Below are 21,031 nucleotides of genomic sequence, written 5' to 3'. Positions count from 1 at the left end.
TTTTTTTTTTTTAAAGAGTTATAGGATTTTCTATCCTTTTTATTCTTTCCAAACATCCATTCTAGTAGATTTTCCTAGACGTATGTCCAAATTGTAGGCATATACTTTTGATAGTATTCAACTGTTTTTTCCTGTCACTCAGGCTAAAGTTCAGTGGGGTGATCATAACTCACTTCAACCTCATACCTCTGGTGATCCTCTTGCCTCAGTCACCAGAATAGCCAAGACTATATAGCTGTGTGCCACCACGCTCAGCTAACTTTTTTTTTTTTTCCATGGAGATGGGATCTTGTTATGTCACTCAGGCTGGTCTCAAACTCTCGGCACTCTGGCCTCCCAAAGCACTGGGAGTATGTGTGTGTGTGTCTGTGTGTTTGTGTGTATGCATTTATTATTTATTTATTTTTTAATTTTTCATAACTGATTGACAGGGTCTCACTCTGTCACCTAAGCTGGAACGCAGTGGTGCAATCACAGCTCACTGCAGCCTCTACCTCCTGGGCTAAAGTGATCCTCCCACCTCAGCCTTCCAAGTAATTGGGACCACAGGTGCATGCCACCATGCCTAGTGAATTTTTTTTTTTTTTAATTTTTTTTGTAGAGACAAGGTCTCCCTGTGTTGCCCAGGCTGGTCTCCAACTCCTGGGGTCAAGTGATTCTCCCACCTCAGCTGTAATTATTTTTTAAATCTCAAATTTACCTGTAGTTCTGTCCCTCATTAGTTTTATAACATTCTTTATTTGTATATTCTCTTCATTAATTTTGCCAGAGCTTTGTTTTTCCTTTCATTTTTTTCAAAGAACTTTTTGCTCTACTGAGCTTCTCTCTATACAATGGAGATTAGATAGCAGTCAAAAAAAATGAAATGCAATTTATGGATGAAACTTTGCGTTATGATATTAAGTAAAAAAATTTAAGTCCTATAGTTTTAGTAATTATTGATATCTAGAAATTTAGAATTTCATATCATGACACACTAGAAATGAAGAAACAACCAAAGACACAAAGTTCTGTTTGCATCTATAGTTGTAAAACTCCAATTCAGCTTTGGAAGGCTTTGACCCATAACAGTCAAAGACTGTGATGCTTCTCCATGACAGTAAAGTAGGTCAAAGTCAACCAAAAGTTTGAAATTATTGGTAATGTTGAGTTAAAAACTCAAGAGAGTAAAAATGTTGGTTATTGAGATTACAAACTAAGAGCAGGTCATTTCTGCTTGTAATTCAATCTTCCATTTCATAAGACTACCTTCCACCTGCTGTGGCCCTACTCTCCTGCAGGCTCCTGCCCACAGCCCTCCATTGTCTGGAGCCCATCTGGACCTTTACTAATGGAGAGTCCTGGGCCTCTCCCCGCTGTGAAGCTCCACTACCCACTTTAAAAGCCAGTTCAAGTGCCACCTCCTCCATGAAACCTCTCATGACTTCCCCAGGAAGCACTGCTCTCGTAGACCTGGAGTGTCTGGCTCATCTCCTTTATGAAACCAGCACAGTGCCTAATTATCCTGTATTCACTGCTGTGGCAAATGTAAGGCCTAACATTAAACTCCACACTGAGCAAACACCGGTCCTACTGAACGTGAAGGTTTCCTTCTATCAGGTGGGATAAGATAGATACATGTAATACATTTTGTTGCTTAAAGTTTTATTACTGGTGTCAGTTTGATTCTTGAAATTCATTCATTTAGTTTCTGAGTTCCATCAAGGATCAGTAGTTCCAGTCAGCTGGACGATTCACACTTTCCTGACAGTACTATACATGACATGATCAAATAACAACTCTGGGTCAAAAAGAGCAGTTTATATCATAGACAAGATTTTCTGTTAGTTTCAGGAAGTGTCTAATCCATTTTACATTCCCATCCAAAGGGACTGATAGAAAACAATGTTTTGGCATTTGTAATATTAGTATTTCAGCTATGTGGAAAATTCTATTTGCTACTACATATGGATATGAATACACAATCCTAAACCAAAATATAAATTGTACTCTTGAGAAAGTAAATCAATTTCATATGTATGCAGATTCTTGAAAATTTCAGTAGTATGTAGGTGCCAAAATAATGGAAATAGTTTCTTTAAAAATACTGTTTTTTTTTTTTTTGAGATGGAGTCTCACTCTGTCGCCCAGGCTGGAGTGCAGTGGCACGATCTCAGCTCACTGCAACCTCCACCTCCCACGTTTAAGAAATTCTCTGCCTCAGTCTCCCGAATAGCTGGGATTACAGGGGCACACCACCACGTCCAGCTAATTTTTTAAATATTTTTAGTAAAGACGAGGTTTCAGCATCTTGGCCAGGCTGGTCTTGAACTCCTGACCTCATGATCCACCCGCCTCGGCCTCCCAGAGTGCTGGGATTATAGGTGTGAGCCACTGCGCCCAGCCAAAAATACTCTATTTTTTAATCAGTGATTTCATCTTTTTTTAGTATACCTATTTGTAGGGTGAAAGGTAAGGGAGAATGTCAATAAGCAAAATGTAATTTTTCTTTAAGATAAGAATGAAAGTGAAAATTTAGTAGCATTAAAATTAGCAATGTATTTCACAATTGATGTGGTTAATGAACCTTAAAAAGATATCTATAGAAAATCCAAACAAAATGTCCCACTTATGCCAAAATTTATACTGCATTTATTTGTCAAGTCTTACGTTAAGATGGAGAACAATATGGAGGAGAAATTATGACTACTTCCCACTTCTCCTTTGGGCACACCCTCACCCCCACTGGCCACGCCCTCACCCTACTGGCCACGCCCATCCCCTGCTGCCACACCCACCTTCCCAGCTTCCTTGTTCCTTCAACATTTTTGGTTTGGAAAAAAAAAAAAAAGGGCCTATAACAGTGGGAAAAATATGTTCCAAGCTGTAGTAAAACATCTAAAGACTTATGCGCAAAACAGAAGTGTAAGTTGGGTACCTTCTACATGGCACGCTTTAAAAAAAGATGTAAGCCCCTCCGAGATGACAGACCCTGAGCTGCGTACCTGCTTCTCAGCTTGCTTCAGAAGCCTCTGGAACCTCTCATCCTCCAGCACGCCTGGTGGAAGGTCAGTCTCTCCCTGAGCTTTCAGTTCCTCCAGCTTCTGCCGCAAGTCCCTCAGCGCCTGCAGCTCATCATTGAGGCGGCTCTGCCGGGTCAGAGATGCCTGAAGGTCCAGTTCTAAGTCTAGAGATGTCCGCACTGGGCATTCCTGTGTTGTTCTTCTAAGGACTGACTGGCAAACCGTCTGGATAGTTAGAAACGGAATGACGAACACCCTGGTTATACAGGCAGTGGTTACCCCACTTCCCCTCCTTCCTGGCGCATGATGGATGGTGCTTCCTTGCACCCTAGAAGCCAGGGCCTAAGGGGCAGGAGCAACTCGCTCTGGCCCATGGCAGGTGAGTGGGAGAGACATGCCTTACTTCTGGCAGAAGGCTGTCAAGGCCAGTGTGAGAGGTGCACATTTCTGTCCCCTGCTGGAGGGAGAGCAAAGAACCACAGAGGGAGGCTCCATCAGCATGGGCCCTGGGTAAGAGCAACATGGAGCAGGACCTCCTGCCAACCTGCAGTGAACCAGTAGCTAGGCAAGAAATAAACCTTTATTGTTTTATACCACAGAGATTTTTAAAGTTGTTACCATAGTACAGCCTGGCTTACTTAGCCTGACCAACTGATTGCATGAAGCCCGCCTAGTGTAATAAATAAATACATTGCAAGACATTTCTGTTTCCTCCATTTCAGGACACATAACTCCTACCATGTCCATGACAGTCAGCCTGAATACAGCTGGACAGTGTTGCTAAGTTTTGACTATCTCCTCCAATCAGAATGCTTAAACTGAGTTGCCTTCCTTGATTTCCCATTGTGTGCTACTTACTTTCACCACTGAATCACCATGGCTCTTCCCAGGGGCAATCTTAACCTATTCATCAAGCAATAATTATTGAACATATATGAATAAATGTCTGCTGGGGCTGTGCAGGCAAAGTACTAGGAAGAGAAGACACAATCTCTGCCCTTGAAAACTTCGGCTGCAGAATGACATGAGGCCTTAAGCGAGAGGAAGCTGTGAGTGAGTGCAGAAGTGCACAGGAAGTCAGGGAAGGGGATGGATCACTCAGGGTCAGGGCACATGCACTTGAGGAAGGGATTTTAAACAAGGCTGGGTGAGAGGTGAGACTCTACCAGCAGAGGGGAACACGGAGGTATTTCTTGCCTAGATTATTGGCAGACAGAATGCAAAATAAGTGATCACTAATAAGAACTGTTACTATTTGATATGAGCGAGGAGGGACTCAAATTTGACAAGTACTCCAGTTTGAAGATCTAAAATAATGGTAGTGCTCATGCCAGATGGAAGGGAGGGGGCCTGTCTGTCCCTATGCTGATTTCAGAGCCTTAGCCCAAGTCAGAATCACTCTTATTGTGTCCTCCTGTTCTTCCTCCACATCCAGTACATACTGCATGGTCTTCTGTAACATTCTTCTTATTAGGTTCCCTTTATTCAACCTGTACCCTCTCCTCTCTACAAATGCATTACACAGTAAGAATCATCTAGACACACATTATCTTTGACTGTATTACTTACTTTTTGGAATCAGAAATCTTTCCTAGCTGTCATGCACACAGAGCCTAAGGACTCCACATACAAGAGTCTGCTGGTAAATGTTTAATAACTGGCTCTCTCTGGGAGAGAAGAAAGCACTGACTTGTAGGGTTGGCCAGTTTCTATGTGGTAAATACTCCTACCATCACCATTTTCAAGCTATGACTGTGATGTCACTGTCACTCCGATTTAACTGGCAAGAGACGAGCACAATTGGCTCTTGTGAGCCAGCGTGAGGAGGGTGCAGCACACCTCTGCCGGTCGGTACCCCTCTAACCTCATCACTCACACACTTGGCGCTTTGTTCTTCTATTCAGATGAACCTTTTCCTCATCTTTGCAGATACTTTTGTCCTCATACACCTCTATACCTTGCTTATGCTGTAATTCCTAAAGCAGAATACCATTCTCCACTTGTTCCTATCAAACCATATCTGTCTACTTTTAAAAACCATTTAAAACCATCTCCTACATATGCTTCAGGATTAACCTTTGTCTGTTTCAAGTAGTCCTAATAACTAAGTTTATCAGTAACCTAACCGTTTCTCAACTCCACTCGATTCATAAACACTTTTGGTTAATATTTATCTGAAGAGTGAAACTATCCCCTGAGAGTATGAGCTGCTTAAGAAGGCAGGTGACTTAGAAAGGAGTTGAGAAGACTTTTCATTCAAGATGATAAAAATTTAGGTGCTTTTAAGGCATAAAGTTTGGTAACCTGAAAAATCAACATTTCAGAATTTCCTGAAAATGACGAATGCTGAATAAATGCTAGCACATCTCATCTGCCTTTAGAAAAACAAAATATTCTTTTATGCCTTTCAAGTAACAAGGAAGTTAAACCAGGGGCGCCCACTGCTGCCTGGCCAGGCATCTCTTACTCTGCACATGGCAGAATGAGACCAGAGTGGCCCTGGTGATGACAATGCTTCTGATTTACCTTCCCAGCCATCATGCCTGATCCTCCCGTCCACAGTGCCAAAGCTGCTGGCAGAACCTGACACTCCTCATGCCGTGTGTCCCTGCTCCCGTATCATTTTACGCCACCTACCCACAGCGCCCAGTATCCATCACACCCCCACCCTGCCCCAAAGCTACCATTTTCTTTTTGAAATTGTATTCAAGTGTGGAGACCCCCCAACTGCTGTCAACTGAGCCCTTCTGACTCTCAATCAGATGGGCTAATTCCCTGTCATACCCGGCACAGTTGTGACAGTCCTGTGTGTGTTGTGTCCTCCTCTAGACCATGGACTCCTGAGGGTGTGAGTTCGCCGTCAACAGAGCTCAGCACATGTGGTGCTCTGTAGTCACCGAACCACACATTTTAAGCCAAAATGATCACAGTAAACAAATATTTTCCTTTAGTATTTCAGCTGTTAGCAAGTAAACAGGAATTTCTGAACTACTTGAACAGACCAACCTGTTAATTCATTTATTCTCTTAGACTTATCCTTAAGGCTCATGCAGAGACCCATGACCTCCAGGAAAATGCCACCCGAGCTGCCCACCCACATGAGTTTTAACCTTCTAAAGATATCTGTGTAAGCAAGCTACAAAAACTGTGTGTTCCTCCTTTACCAGAATGTGTGTCCTTCAGAAAAGGTACCAGGTCTTACACCCCTTCCCACAATCGCTCAAGACCTGGACATGGTATGCAGAGTCATCAGAAATGTGTTCTACCATCGTCTGATACCCCTGCAGGCTCAGAAGGCCCCTTCTCCAGAGATACTGAAACCGCATTTCCAGCCTTAACCATCACAGGTTCCACACCAATGATGAATAAATGCCCTCACACCCCCCCATCTCCATAGTGGCCATGGCATCTGCGTCTCTGTGTATCCCAGTGGCTGCATTCAGTAGGCCAAGCGCATGGAGCACTGACATTCATTCTGTAGTTCTGGAGTTTGTGCTGCACAAGTGACAATTCTGGACTGGTCCAGGGACAGTGGGACGTGGCTGAGGGAATACATACCCTTTTGACCCTCAAACTGCGGCGTTCGGTGGAGTTTCTCACAAACAGTGATTTTTTAGCCAGGGTTGAACTGTCACTGTCACTCCGATTTAACTGGCAACAAAAGATTTAAAAAAAAAATCACTGCATATCAAACAGAGTGCAAGTGGAAGTTTGGGATTGAGACATTTACCAAGTAAAGCAGGTAGTCATAGTTAAGAGTTTATTTCTTTAAGAAAATCCCCTCAAACAAGTTTTTCCTGTTCTATTTTGTTAAATAACTTCATTTTCCTAAATTACTTATTTATGTATTTTTTTTTTGAGACAGAGTCTCACTCTGTCACCCAGGCTGGAGTGCAGTGGCGTGATCTCGGCTCATTGCAACCTCTGCCACCTGGGTTCACACAATTCTCCTGCCTCAGCCTCTGTAGTAACTCGGATTACAGGCGCACGCCACCATGCCCAGCTAATTTTTCTATTTTTAGTAGGATGGGGTTTCACCATGTTGGCCAGGCTGGCCTCGAACTTCTGACCTCAGGTGTTTCGCTCTCCTCGGGCTCCCAAAGTGTTGGGATTACAGTCATGAGCCACTGTGCCTGCAAATAATCTGAATAGCTGCCTTTTGGTAGTGGCTATTAAAAATCATATGTTTAAGGTACTTATATATTTTTTGAAATGAAATTATCCTTTGTATTTTTAGCTAATACATGATATTTGTTTCTTTAAAGAAAGGTCTGCATGAAGCAGAGCTCAAGGTCAGAGTTGAGACACAGTCTGTGCTATCTAGAACGCTCTCGGCCCAGATAGCCCACACTCACTGTCTCATCTGCTTCAAATCTTTACTGAAATGCAGCCTGCTCTGAATCCTGCGTATCACCCCCAACCCCCTGCACTACTGTTGTCCATAGCATTGATCCCCTTCCAAGATACTTCATAGCTTGTTCATCTTATTTACTGCTTGTGGTCTGGCTCGATTCACAGGAATGTAAACTCTACAATGGCAGGGCTCTGGGTCTCTTGTTTCTAGATGAATCCCAAGTATTTAAGAAAATGCTTAAAAGCAGGTGCTTAATAAAAATGTGTTGAACTGAATGAATAAATTTAGAATTTAAAAAGTATTTCTAACCCAGTTTATAATATTATGTCTATCTTACTAGATAAATCAGAAATACTTCTAGAAGTAGAATTTGGCAAACTGATACAAATCTCATAATTTTCTTCACAGAACTATGGATGTGATTCAGTGTTTATAAGCATTATTAAAAGAGGATTTTTAATCTAAAATGCAATTCACAGTTCTCAGTTCAACAAGACAAACATGGTTTGAAGGACATATGATATAGAACAGAAATATACAGACCACATGTATCTCAAAAAACCACTTTATGTTTCTAAATACAGACCGAAGTCCAAATAACGTACAAATACTCAGCACTCAGATCCTTAAACTTCGCTTACTTGCCAAATAAATCACATTGGAACCAAGGAGGCATTAAATTTGATGGAAAAACAAACAAACTAAAAGGGACCATAAGCACGTGATATTCTACATCTGTTTTACAGCATTTCTAGCATTTGTCGTTGTCATGTGGACTCCCAGTGCACAGTCTCTTGTCCTTTGCAGGCCACTCCCTACCAGCAGGGAAGAAGCTGCAGTCCCAGCGCCTCACCACGAGCACTGCCACCTTACCCTGCAGATGTACTGGTTCCGCTCTCCTGGAGAAAAGGTCTGTGAGCGCACTATCACACTGCTCCTCACAAACGGATGCTGTCTAGAGCTCAGGCTGCTGCGCTCTTTGGGGCGAACTGCCATATTGTCATTAGCGGCTTCATCAGTGTTTGTCTCTTTGTCAACCTATAAGAGAAGTTAACAATTTGTCAGGAGCTGAAAGATGTGTAAACATTATGCTCCTTTCTTCTAAGAAAGAAAAAATATCTAATGTTACAACAGAGACTCATGGAGCACTATGGCCACTCCTAAGAGAAAGGCTTTGCATTACAGACTATAGTACTTCTGAAGTACTTCTGGGGAGAATTGTTCTTCAGTTTTCTACCAAGAATGGTTTTGTACTAAGTTCTTAGGAAGTTCTGCACAGCAGGCCGTGTGATATCTGTCCAACAAGCACCATAAATAGAGGTGCTGCCTCCAAAGGGTTGAACATAAAAATGAAGGTTTAGATTTAAAGTGATTCTATAAAGAATCCTATTTGGGTACATATCATCATTAAACTTTATTCAACTTTCTGATTACATTGTTTTCCAAATAAATGATAAAGATAATTAAATATAAGAAAATGAAATATACCACAAACTTGTAGGTTTAAATAGAATATGCAATTATACATGTATAAACATAACTGTTGTGAAGCTGAGTTGTATTTTTACTGGATCTTTAGAAATGTAACAAAAATAAAACCTAAGTAAAAATGGAAGTTTCTCAAAATACAAACTCAGTAGGCATAGGCAGATGTCTATTTTTTATCTTATAGGTATAATTTGATTCCAAACCTGCCTCTTGATGAAAGTTTGCTCCTTTGAGAAAGGAAGTTCTCAGGGCATAATATTATTTTCTCAGGAATACAAAATTATAATTTTCTAAACTCTACTACCAATATCCCCAGTGTGTGAGCATCCATGAAGCTTGAAAATATTTTCCCCATATGGGGTTGACAGTCTCAATACATCTCTCACTTAACTAGCAAAGTTACCTGTTTAATAACTTGGTTGGCACTTGTGCCTAAACTAAGTCACCTGTCACTTTTCTAATCAGGGCATCGCCTAACCAAAATGAACTTTAAATGTTTACTTCATGTTTGAAATGGAAATAAAACTTACTACATATACGGAACTTGACACAAGACACCCTGTTGTTCTCCTAGGAATTCAGAAAATACTTTTAATATTCACAGAATATTTATAGATTTAAAGTAACTAGCACTATTTCTCTTCTTATATATTCTCCAAATATAAGTGGAGAATATCTTGGGCCCATTTTAAAACGTTAAAGCATTTATGATGCTTCTTAGAGCCTATTCCCACATATGCCTTTCACGATCAGCTTTTGGCACAAAATCCTGACATGGAATTTACACCTAAGGAGACAAACAAGCATCTCCCTAGTCCACATGGTGCCTGTAAGGTATCAGTTTTAAGACAGCACAGCGGAATAGTCACCAGTGTTGGTATTCTAGTAGGTGGCTGACTTCTGAGGTCTTTGGCACAGTTGCTTTCTTTCCTGTTCCCGTCTTCATTCATCTCAGGCACACTAGTGCATGAACTTAAATCTTCTGTACAGCTACTGTCCTCTGGCAATTTAACTTCAGCCTCTTTTTCAGCCACAATTTCATCAGAGGCCTCTCTTAGCATTGTTAGCCTATGGTAAAACAAAAACAAAACACTTTTGGTAGGCAGGCATGCTCCATGAACACGCAACCTGGGCATGCTAAGTTGTTATCTGGGAAATAAACAGACTCACACAATGAGCCAAGCCATTTCTTTGGCTGGGGTTTTTAACTAAATGTCTCATTTAAAAAAATCCTCTCTTCACCCTCTAGTAACCTGCAGCAAAATCACCATAATGTGGTACTAAAAAGTTAAACTCATGAAATTTAACCTAACTTCTAGATATCAAAATAGACATATTCTGAAAATCACATTATAGAGTTTAATGTTAGCATTTAAAAATATTGACACTCACTATAAAATAACTTGGTATTCGTTGTTCATTTATTGTAAAATTAATCATATGACAGTGAATACAGAAATAAGGATTTTAAATCCTCATTTTATTGAGTGTACTCACAGTCGAGCAGGGAGAATCCTACGTTAAGGAAGTTTTTCTTCTGAACTAGCAGAAGGCTCATTTTTAACAAAAGCCCTGGCATGGGCTGAAGTGGCATTATAAGTGGTATAAGTGGTGCTCCAGAATATAAATACAGCTTATATGGAATATATAAAGCAGGAGTACTAGGATGGTTTAGAACATCTCATACTTTGTTGAGTTTCATGTTCTCCGAATGCAGACATTCTTTCCATTGATAACTAAATGTTCAGCTTTAATTTGATTGGTGACATAATGACAAACTGGCACAGACTAGTTAATAAATGTCTAGCCATGAAGTGAACACAAGGGGAACCATTAATGACTACTATGAGTTATAAATTCCTTTGTTTACATATTAAGAGTACTGTTTGGAAATATGTGTGAAACAACTTGTATTTTACATATATGAGAATTACTATTTAAAGATACTATAATGAACCTTATAATCACTCTCGTATTTATTTGTTTTGCAGTGCTGTGATTTTTATTCACTATGAAGGACTTTTTATAAGGACAAAGTATATCTATATCTTTTTACATCACAGTAGAAGCTCTTCCTTCCAAATGTCCATGACTGCGTTATTTATGATATATCGTGTCACTCTAAGTTTCTAAAAAGTTTTCTATATACACACATACAAATGCATGCTATATATGTATATGCACATGTATTAACAGTAGTTCAACCAAACATAACAGTATAAACAACTATATATTAAAAATTAACTCAAATGATTTCACATATATACTTAAAAAGTGAAATATTCACTAAAATTTGTTTTAAGAGAAACAGTACAATCCAGGAAGGAGAGCTCTTTATATATAAATGAACCTGGACAATAACTGTAATAACTTCCCCCTCTGCCTCCCCTTTTTAAAGGATTGGGTATGGATACAGGGAAGGACACAGAAAAAGAAGGTAAGAGTGGTAACAGAGAAATGAGTACTCAGAAGTTGTTTTTTAAATACCTGCTTTGTCTTACTAGAGCCTAAATGGTACTTCCAGGTAGTTAAAAGAAAAATAGAGTCACTTTTAAAATTATCTATAACTCTACAATAAGCTACCATACCTTTCAAAATCAAGTTTAGACTAAAAAAAAAAAGGCTCAGAAAATAGTGTTTTAAAATTACTCGAAACAAGAACAAAGAATCTGGCTAATGTTTTAACTTTGCCCATAATCTTGCCATTACTTCCTTAACTCTCTAATGACCAAGGAAAGACTTTTCCTAGCACAGCTTCCTGAAGGTGCAGTGCATTCCATCATTCTGGAATAAAGCATGAGCCTACAAAGGTTTCACTGTAAGCCGTGTAAACACATCATCTTTGAGCTCCCAACAGCAAAGGAAATAAGTGTTTAACCAGTCTCCATCTGGGCCCCTTGGCTCTTCTTGTCCTGATTCTTCTTCTTCTTCTTGTGCTAATTCTTGTTCCACAGCTAACAACTCAGCTGATGTTCTTGCAAGTAAGGCTGACACTGCATCCTGAAGAATGTAAAGCATACGGCAATTAACATAATATACTTGAAAAAATGACTTAAAAACTCAGCAGATGGGAATTTACACTTCTATCTGTAAAGACGACTCAACTCTCCTGCTGAAAACAAATATGAAAGCTGAATAAAATAGAACCCAAAACAAGCAAAACCTCTCAGATGTTTTAAAGCAATGAAGAGCAACAAAGGCAATCAGGACTAGAGGGCCAAGATCCCAGGTAGAACAGAAATATAATAAGGTGAGCCATGGCCACTCTTTTCCCTTAGCGTATTTGTCAATTCTAGTGGTGAGGTACATGGGCTAAACAGACTGTGGCTGCCTAGAACAGTGGCAGTGTCAGTAGGATATGAAGACTAAAATTGAGTTCAGGACTACCAAGGCAGTCAACTCACAAGAGGTTAGAGAAAATGAACTGTAAAGTGAGCTCAATATTCTACATGATATTCCTGTCATGGCATTTGCCATTCCTAAGCTGCCTATATGCAGAGCAAGAAGCTGAGAAACAAAGCAAAAAAAAAAAAAAAAAAAAAAAAACAGCTGCTATCAGGCTAAAATAGTAAGCAGATATTTCCATTGTCCCATTCAGTCTTATGGAGAGTAAAACTGGAATTCACATCCCCACATGATTCAGGTAAGCTACCCATATTGTCATTTGCCTTTCAGAAGAATAGAAAATCCTCTCTGGAGGAAGATATCAGTTATTCTCATACGTAACATCCAGTATTTCATTAGGAACTAAAGAGTGAAAGTCAAGAAAAACAATAGCTAAATAAGGCAAACCCACAGATGATCCATACACTAAAGGCATTGAGAGAAAAATTTAAGTTTTTATGAATAATATGCTAAAATAACTGAATGAAATGATAAAGAATTTCAGTGGTATAAACAAAAAGAAAATCACATTAGCATATCAGAGTGAAACTGCTGAAAAATCAAAGAAAAAGAAGAATCTTACAAGCAGTAAAAGGAATGATGCTCAGAGAATACTACAAACACCTCTACGCAAATAAACTAGAAAATCTAGAAGAAATGGATAAATTCCTCGACACATACACTCTCCCAAGACTAAACCAGGAAGAAGTTGAATCTCTGAATAGACCAATAACAGGATCTGAAATTGTGGCAATAATCAATAGCTTACCAACCAAAAAGAGTCCAGGACCAGATGGATTCACAGCCGAATTCTACCAGAAGTACAAGGAGGAACTGGTACCAATCTTTCTGAAACTATTCCAATCAATAGAAAAAGAGGGAATCCTCCCTAACTCATTTGATGAGGCCAGCATCATTCTGATACCAAAGCCAGGCAGAGACACAACAAAAAAAGAGAATTTTAGACCAATATCCTTGATGAACATTGATCCAAAAATCCTCAATAAAATACTGGCAAAACGAATCCAGCAGCACATCAAAAAGCTTATCCACCATGATCAAGTGGGCTTCATCCCTGGGATGCAAGGCTGGTTCAATATACGCAAATCAATAAATGTAATACAGCATATAAACAGAGCCAAAGACAAAAACCACATGATTATCTCAATAGATGCAGAAAAAGCCTTTGACAAAATTCAACAACCCTTCATGCTAAAAACTCTCAATAAATTAGGTACTGATGGGACATATTTCAAAATAAGAGCTATCTATGACAAACCCACAGCCAATATCATACTGAATGGGCAAGAACTGGAAGCATTCCCTTTGAAAACTGGCACAAGACAGGGATGCCCTCTCTCACCACTCCTATTCAACACAGTGTTGGAAGTTCTGGCCAGGGCAATTAGGCAGGAGAAGGAAATAAAGGGTATTCAATTAGGAAAAGAGGAAGTCAAATTGTCCCTGTTTGCAGACGACATGATTGTATATCTAGAAAACCCCACTGTCTCAGCCCAAAACCTCCTTAAGCTGATAAGCAACTTCAGCAAAGTCTCAGCATACAAAATCAATGTACAAAAATCACAAGCATTCTTATACACCAACAACAGACAAACAGAGAGCCAAATCAGGAGTGAATTCCCATTCACAATTGCTTCAAACAGAATAAAATACCTAGGAATCCAACTTACAAGTGATGTGAAGGACCTCTTCAAGGAGAACTACAAACCACTGCTCAAGGAAACAAAAGAGGATACAAACAAATGGAAGAACATTCCATGCTCATGGGTAGGAAGAATCAATATCGTGAAAATGGCCATACTGCCCAAGGTAATTTACAGATTCAATGCCATCCCCATCAAGCTACCAATGCCTTTCTTCACAGAATTTGAAAAAACTACTTTAAAGTTCATATGGAACCAAAAAAGAGCCTGCATCGCCAAGTCAATCCTAAGCCAAAAGAACAAAGCTGGAGGCATCACACTACCTGACTTCAAACTATACTACAAGGCTACAGTAAACAAAACAGCATGGTACTGGTACCAAAACAGAGATATAGATCAATGGAACAGAACAGAGCCCTCAGAAATAACACCACATATCTACAACTATCTGATCTTTGACAAACCTGAGAAAAACAAGAAATGGGGAAAGGATTCCCTATTTAATAAATGGTGCTGGGAAAACTGGCTAGCCATATGGAGAAAGCTGAAACTGGATCCCTTCCTTATACCTTATACAAAAATCAATTCAATATGGATTAAAGACTTAAATGTTAGACCTAAAACCATAAAAACCCTAGAAGAAAACCTAGGCATTACCATTCAGGACATAGGCATGGGCAAGGACTCCATGTCTAAAACACCAAAAGCAATGGCAACAAAAGCCAAAATTGACAAATGGGATCTAATTAAACTAAAGAGCTTCTGCATAGCAAAAGAAACTACCATCAGAGTGAACAGGCAACCTACAAAATGGGAGAAAATTTTTGCAACCTACTCATCTGACAAAGGGCTAATATCCAGAATCTACAATGAACTCAAACAAATTTACAAGAAAAAAACAACCCCATCAAAAAGTGGGCGAAGGACATGAACAGACACTTCTCAAAAGAAGACATTTATGCAGCCAAAAAACACATGAAAAAATGCTCACCATCACTGGCCATCAGAGAAATGCAAATCAAAACCACAATGAGATACCATCTCACACCAGTTAGAATGGCAATCATTAAAAAGTCAGGAAACAACAGGTGCTGGAGAGGATGTGGAGAAATAGGAACACTTTTACACTGTTGGTGGGACTGTAAACTAGTTCAACCATTGTGGAAGTCAGTGTGGTGATTCCTCAGGGATCTAGAACTGGAAATACCATTTGACCCAGCCATCCCATTACTGGGTATATACCCAAAGGACTATAAATCATGCTGCTGTAAAGACACATGCACACGTATGTTTATTGCAGCATTATTCACAATAGCAAAGACTTGGAACCAACCCAAATGTCCAAAAATGATAGACTGGATTAAGAAAATGTGGCACATATACACCATGGAATACTACGCAGCCATAAAAAATGATGAGTTCATGTCCTTTGTAGGGACATGGATGAAATTGGAAATCATCATTCTCAGTAAACTATCACAAGAACAAAAAACCAAACACCGCATATTCTCACTCATAGGTGGGAATTGAACAATGAGATCACACGGACACAGGAAGAGGAATATCACACTCTGGGGACTGTTGTGGGGAGGGGGGAGGGAGGAGGGATAGCATTGGGAGATATACCTAATGCTAGATGATGAGTTAGTGGGTGCAGCGCACCAGCATGGCACATGTATACATATGTAACTAACCTGCACAATGTGCACATGTACCCTAAAACTTAAAGTATAATAATAATAATAATAATAATAAAAAAGAAATGATGCTGTATGAACTAACAATTAAGTTGTCCTCCAAAAGCTCAACAGAATCAATGGAAGCTAGATGACAATAAAATGGTATTTTTAATACGTTCAAAGAAATAACGGCAGACCTAGAATTCTGAATATGCAGCAAAAAAACTATCCTTCACAAATGAAGTTGAAATAGATAACTAACAGGTCTATACTAAAAGAAATATTAAAGGGAATTCTTTGAGCAGAAGCAAAATGTCTCAAATGGAAGCACAATAATGCAGAAGGAAATAAAATATAACAAAAGGGTAAAAACGTGAGGAAATCTGAATGAATACTAACTGTCAATGAAACAATAATACTATCTTGTGAGATTCAAAATATATGACAATAATAGCAGAGAAGGAGGAAAGGGAATAAAATGGAGTTAAAGTCTTTGAAAATCTTTGCATTGTCTGGGAAAAAGTAAAGGAATTCATGGTAGTTTTTAATAAGTTAAGAACTCATGCTATAATCTCCAGGGAAACTGCAAAAAATAAAAGACTGCAGATCTAGTAGAGGGGAAAACGAAAATTTAAAAATAATTCAAAACAAGGAAGAAAAAGAATAAAGATGGAATTAAAAGAAAACAAATAGGAAGATAATAGGATCAAACCCAAATATATCAATAATAGCATTAAAAGTAAATGAGTTAAATATTTCAATTAAAAGATGAAGATTTTAAGACTGGATAATGAAACAAAACCAACTACATACTGCTTATAAGTAGAATACTTTAAATATAATATCTCAGAAAGGTTGAAAGTAAAAGGATGAAAAAAGATAAATCATGCAAACACTAACCCAAAAAGGCTGATATGTAGCTTTACTAACACCAGACAAAGTAGATTTTAAAACAAGAGGTATTGCTAGCAATAAAAAGGAACATTTTATAATGATAAAAGGTTCAGTTGAACAGAAAGATGCAATGCAATGCTAAAGGTAAATGCTAAATTTACTTTACCTAATAACAGACTCAAAAAGCAATACTTCTAAGTCTAAATAGACTGAAGTACAGAGATAGAATCTGTAAACAAAAAATTCCACACACAAAAAAGTACAGGACTGGATGGCTTCACTTGTGAATTCTATGAAACGTTTACAGAAGAATTAATACAAATTATTCTCAAACTCTTCCAGAAGGTAGAATGCTTTCTAACTCATACTATGAGGCCAGAATTAGCGTGATAAAAACCAAAGCTATCACAAGAATACTATGAATACAGACACGAAAATCCTGAATGGAATACTAGCAAACTGAGTCCAACAACATACAAAGGATCTACACTATGACCAAGTGAGATTTATCCTAGGAATGCAGGGTTGGTTTAATACTTGAAAATCAATTAATAAATTATATCAATTGAATAAAGAACAAAAACCACATGACCATCTCAACAGATGCAACAAAGGCATTTTACAAATCCAACGGCCTTTAATGATGAAAAGCAGTCAACAAACTTGGAAAAGAAGAGCTTTTCCTTATTCTGATAAAGGACATCTATGAAAAAGCCACAGCCAAATTCATACTTAATGGTGAAAGGCTGAAAGCTTTTCCACTAAGATCAGGACGAAGACAAGGATGTCTGCTCTTACAATTTCTTTCAATATTGTCTGGGAAGTTCTAGCCAGGGCAAATAGGCAAGAAAAAGAAATAAAAGGCATATGACTGGAAAGGAAGAAGTAAAATCACCTCTATTTGCAAACAATATGATCTTATAGAAAATCTAATGGAATCCACTAAAAAAACTATTAGAATTAATAAATGAGTTCAGTAAGGTTGCAGGATACAAGATAAAATCAACTGTGCAACAAACACTTAAAAATGCAACTGAGAAAACAGTTCCACAGTGGCTGGAGAGAGTAGGGAGGGTGAGGAGGAAAAGGGAAAGGTTATTCAACAGGAACATCAAGTTACAGTTAGAGAAGCAGAATAAGTTCTGCTGTTCTAATGCCCAGTAAGGTGACTGTAATTAACAACATTGTATTACATACTTCAAAACAGCTACAAGAAAGGATTTTGAATAGTCTCATCACAAGAAATGATAAATGTTTCAGGTGATGGATTTGTTAATTTACCCTGATTTGATCATTATATAATGAATACATGTACTGAAACATCACACTGTTTCAGTGGGTCCTCAAACTTTGTTTTAAATGATTAAAACATTTAAATGATTAAATATCTGATATAACTTATTGATTTTCAAGTGTTAAACCAACCTTGCATTCCTAGGATAAATCTCACTTGGTCATAGTATAGATCTTTTTCATGTTGTTGTATGGGGCCATGATGAACAAAACTTTTAAAAGCCCAGTTCCATTCACAATAGCACCAGAAACAATAAAATACTTAGAAATAAGTTTAACAAAAGAAGTCGCATACTGATCCTTTTGTAGTTCCTAAGTGTGATGATTAGGTTTTCATGCTCATGTGTGACATGTGCCTCCTTCAAATCTCATTAGGACATCAGCACATTACCCATCTGACATAAAAATAAAAAAGAAAAATGAAAGAAATGCAAACTTTGACTCTGAAAACTATGAAATATTATTGAAAGAAATTAAAGACCTAAATAAATGGAAATACGTCCTATGTTCATGGATCAGAAGACTTAGAACTGTTATGATGACAGTATCTTCCAAACTGACCTACAGGTCCAATTCTACCCCCATGAAAATCTTGGCTATCTTTTTTTGCAGAAATTAGTAAACTGATACTAAAACTCTTATGGAAATGCAAGGGACTCTGAATAGCCAAAATAATCTTTAAAAAGAAAAACAAAGTTGGAAGAACCACACTTCCTGATCTCAAAATGACTACAAAGCTATAGTAATCAAAGCAGTGCAGTACTAGCTTAAGTACAGACATGTGGATTAATGAACAGGATTGAGAGTCCAGAAATATAAACCCTCACACTTGATTTTCAACAAGGGTGCCAAGATAATTCAAGGTGAAAGAACAGTTTTTGCAATAAATGGTGCTGGGACAACTGCATATCCACATACAAAAAGATGAAACTGGATCCACGTTAACAACTCAAATGAATCAGAGACCTAAATATAAGACTTTAAAACTGTTAGAAAAAGACCCAGGAATAAATATTTGTGATATTAGTTTAGGCAAAGCAGTCTTAGCTATGATACCAAAAGCACAAGGATTTTTGAAAAATGGATAAACTGGACTTTTAGGAAAATTAAAAACTTTTGTGCTGTAAATAAAACCATCAAGAAAGTGAGAAGACAATCCACAGAATGAGAGAAAATATCTGCAAATTATTTATCTGATAAGGGGTTTGCATCAAGAATAGGTAAGGAACTCTTATAAGTCAATAATAAAAAAATAAACAGGCTGGGTGCGGTGGCTCACGCCTGTAATCCCAGCACTTTGGGAGGCAAGGTGGGCAGATCACCTGAGGTCGGGAGTTTGAGACCAGCCTGACCAACATGGAGAAACCCCGTCTCTACTAAAAATACAAAATTAGCTGGGCATGGTGGTGCATGCCTGTAATCCCAGCTACTCGGGAGGCTGAGGCAGGAGAATCACTTGAACCTGGGAGGGAGAGGTTGTGGTTAGCCGAGATTATGCCATTGTACTCCAGCCTGGGCAATAAGAAGAAAACTCCGTCTCAAAAGAAAATAATGATAATAAATTAAAAATAAATAAATAACATCGTTTAAAAATAGACAAAGAATGTGAAAAGACATTTCTCAAAAAAAAGATATACTAATGGCCAATAAGGCTGTGATGCTCACCATCATTAGTCATTAGGGAAATGTCAATCAAAGCCACAGTGAAAACACCACTTCACACCCACAAGAATGGCCAGAATCAGAAAGACAGATAACACATGGCAAGGGAGAAACTGGAACCCTCATACACTGCTGATGGGAATGCAAAATGGTGCAAACACCTAGGAACAGTTTGGCTGTTCCTCAAATTATTAAACACAAAGTTACTATACAACCTAACAGTTCTACTCATAGGTACCTACCCAGGAGAAATGAAAACATATGTCCACAAAAACACTTGTATACAAATGTTCATAGCTGCATTTTTCATAATAGCCAAAAAGTGGAAACAACCCAAATGCCCATCAGCTGACGGACAGATAAAATGTGGTACATCCACAATAGAATATTATGTGTGAATAAAAAGGAATAAAATATTAATACTGCAACACCATGGAGGTACCTTGAAAATATTATGCTAAGTGAAAGATGCCACAAAAGAACAAATATTGTATTATTGCACTTACATGAAATGTCCAGAAGAAGCAAATTTAGAGACAGGGATGAGTGGTTGCCTTGTAGTAGAGATTAGTGGTTGCCTTGGGGAAAGAGGTTAGGGAGAACTGGGAGTCTCTGCTCGTGCACACAGGGCTTCTTTGGCGACGATGACAATGTTCTAATATTAGACTGTAAAGTTGGTTGCACACACAACTCTGTGAATATCCTAAAAACCACTGGGTTGGGTGCTTCAAATGGATAAACTGTCACACTTTAAATGGGTGAAATGTATGATGTATGAATTATATTGTAATAAAGCTATTTTTAAGAACTTACATAAAGTGTGACCATTGTAAAAGCATTCTTAAGGATAAAACATCATATTTTGCCATTTTGTATGTGTTGTTCAGTGTCTATCACAAGCCTGGGTATGTAATCTAAAATGTACCGTTATGTTTGTTTCCCTTTCACCACCCACTACAGTGTCTACTATAGTTTCTCACACACAGTAGATGATCCATAAAACACTGTTGTTTAATTATCTGACTTCTGCTTAGGAAATGCCTTCCTCATAATCTAAAACAAACTTGAACTCAATAACAATAACCACAAATGCCAAATTCATGATGAACGGCCTCACAAAAGGCCCCTTTGTAAATTTTTTGAAGTACTACATTGAAGTATGGTTGCTGGCTACAACCTAACCCCCATTTTTTTGAGACAGGGTCTCTTTCTGTCATCCAGGCTGGAGTGCAGTGGCATGATCATGGCTCACTGCAGCTTCAACTTCTGAGGGTCAATCGATCCACCCACCTCAGTCTCCCCAGGAGCAAGGACTTCAGGCGTGCACCACTGCACCCAGCTAATTTTTTTGTTATTTTTGTAGAGACAGGGTCTTGCTATGTTGCCCATGCTGGTCTTGAACTCCTGAGCAAAAGCAATTCGCCTGCCTCAGCTTCCCAAAGTGCTGGGATTACAGGCCTGAGCCACCACGCCTGGCCTTCACAAAACTATTTAATAGAAAATACTTATGGCTATTGATGTTACAAATGAAAAGCTAACACACTGTTTTGGCTTAATAATTTCAAATCTGCAAAATATAAAAGTGCCAAATGTATAACCTGACAGTGGAAT

General features: G+C 38.5%; 1 protein-coding gene and 1 non-coding gene across 5 annotated transcripts in view; one reads left to right on the top strand and one right to left on the bottom strand.

Moving 5' to 3' along the window:
• Positions 1-21,031, bottom strand: part of WWC2 (WW and C2 domain containing 2) — a 221,521-nt gene that overhangs the window by 28,158 nt on the left and 172,332 nt on the right. For 2 of the 4 annotated variants that reach the window (NM_001410864.1, XM_024454225.2), the window contains 5 exons: positions 11,651-11,844; positions 9,714-9,912; positions 8,230-8,394; positions 6,561-6,653; positions 2,985-3,227 (listed from right to left, as the gene is read on the bottom strand). In NM_001410864.1, coding sequence (NP_001397793.1) covers positions 2,985-3,227; positions 6,561-6,653; positions 8,230-8,394; positions 9,714-9,912; positions 11,651-11,844 — 894 coding nt within the window. The remainder of the gene's footprint in view (positions 1-2,984; positions 3,228-6,560; positions 6,654-8,229; positions 8,395-9,713; positions 9,913-11,650; positions 11,845-21,031) is intronic. The other 2 variants (NM_024949.6, XM_047416198.1) reach the window with 1 other exon arrangement.
• On the top strand, positions 18,056-18,159 carry LOC124900896 (small nucleolar RNA U13). Its single transcript, XR_007058538.1, has one exon. It is a non-coding gene; the product is annotated as a small nucleolar RNA U13 (small nucleolar RNA).

Source organism: Homo sapiens, chromosome 4 (assembly GCF_000001405.40).
Source record: "Homo sapiens chromosome 4, GRCh38.p14 Primary Assembly".
NCBI lineage: Eukaryota > Metazoa > Chordata > Mammalia > Primates > Hominidae > Homo > Homo sapiens.
This window is presented reverse-complemented; position numbering and strand designations above follow the sequence as displayed.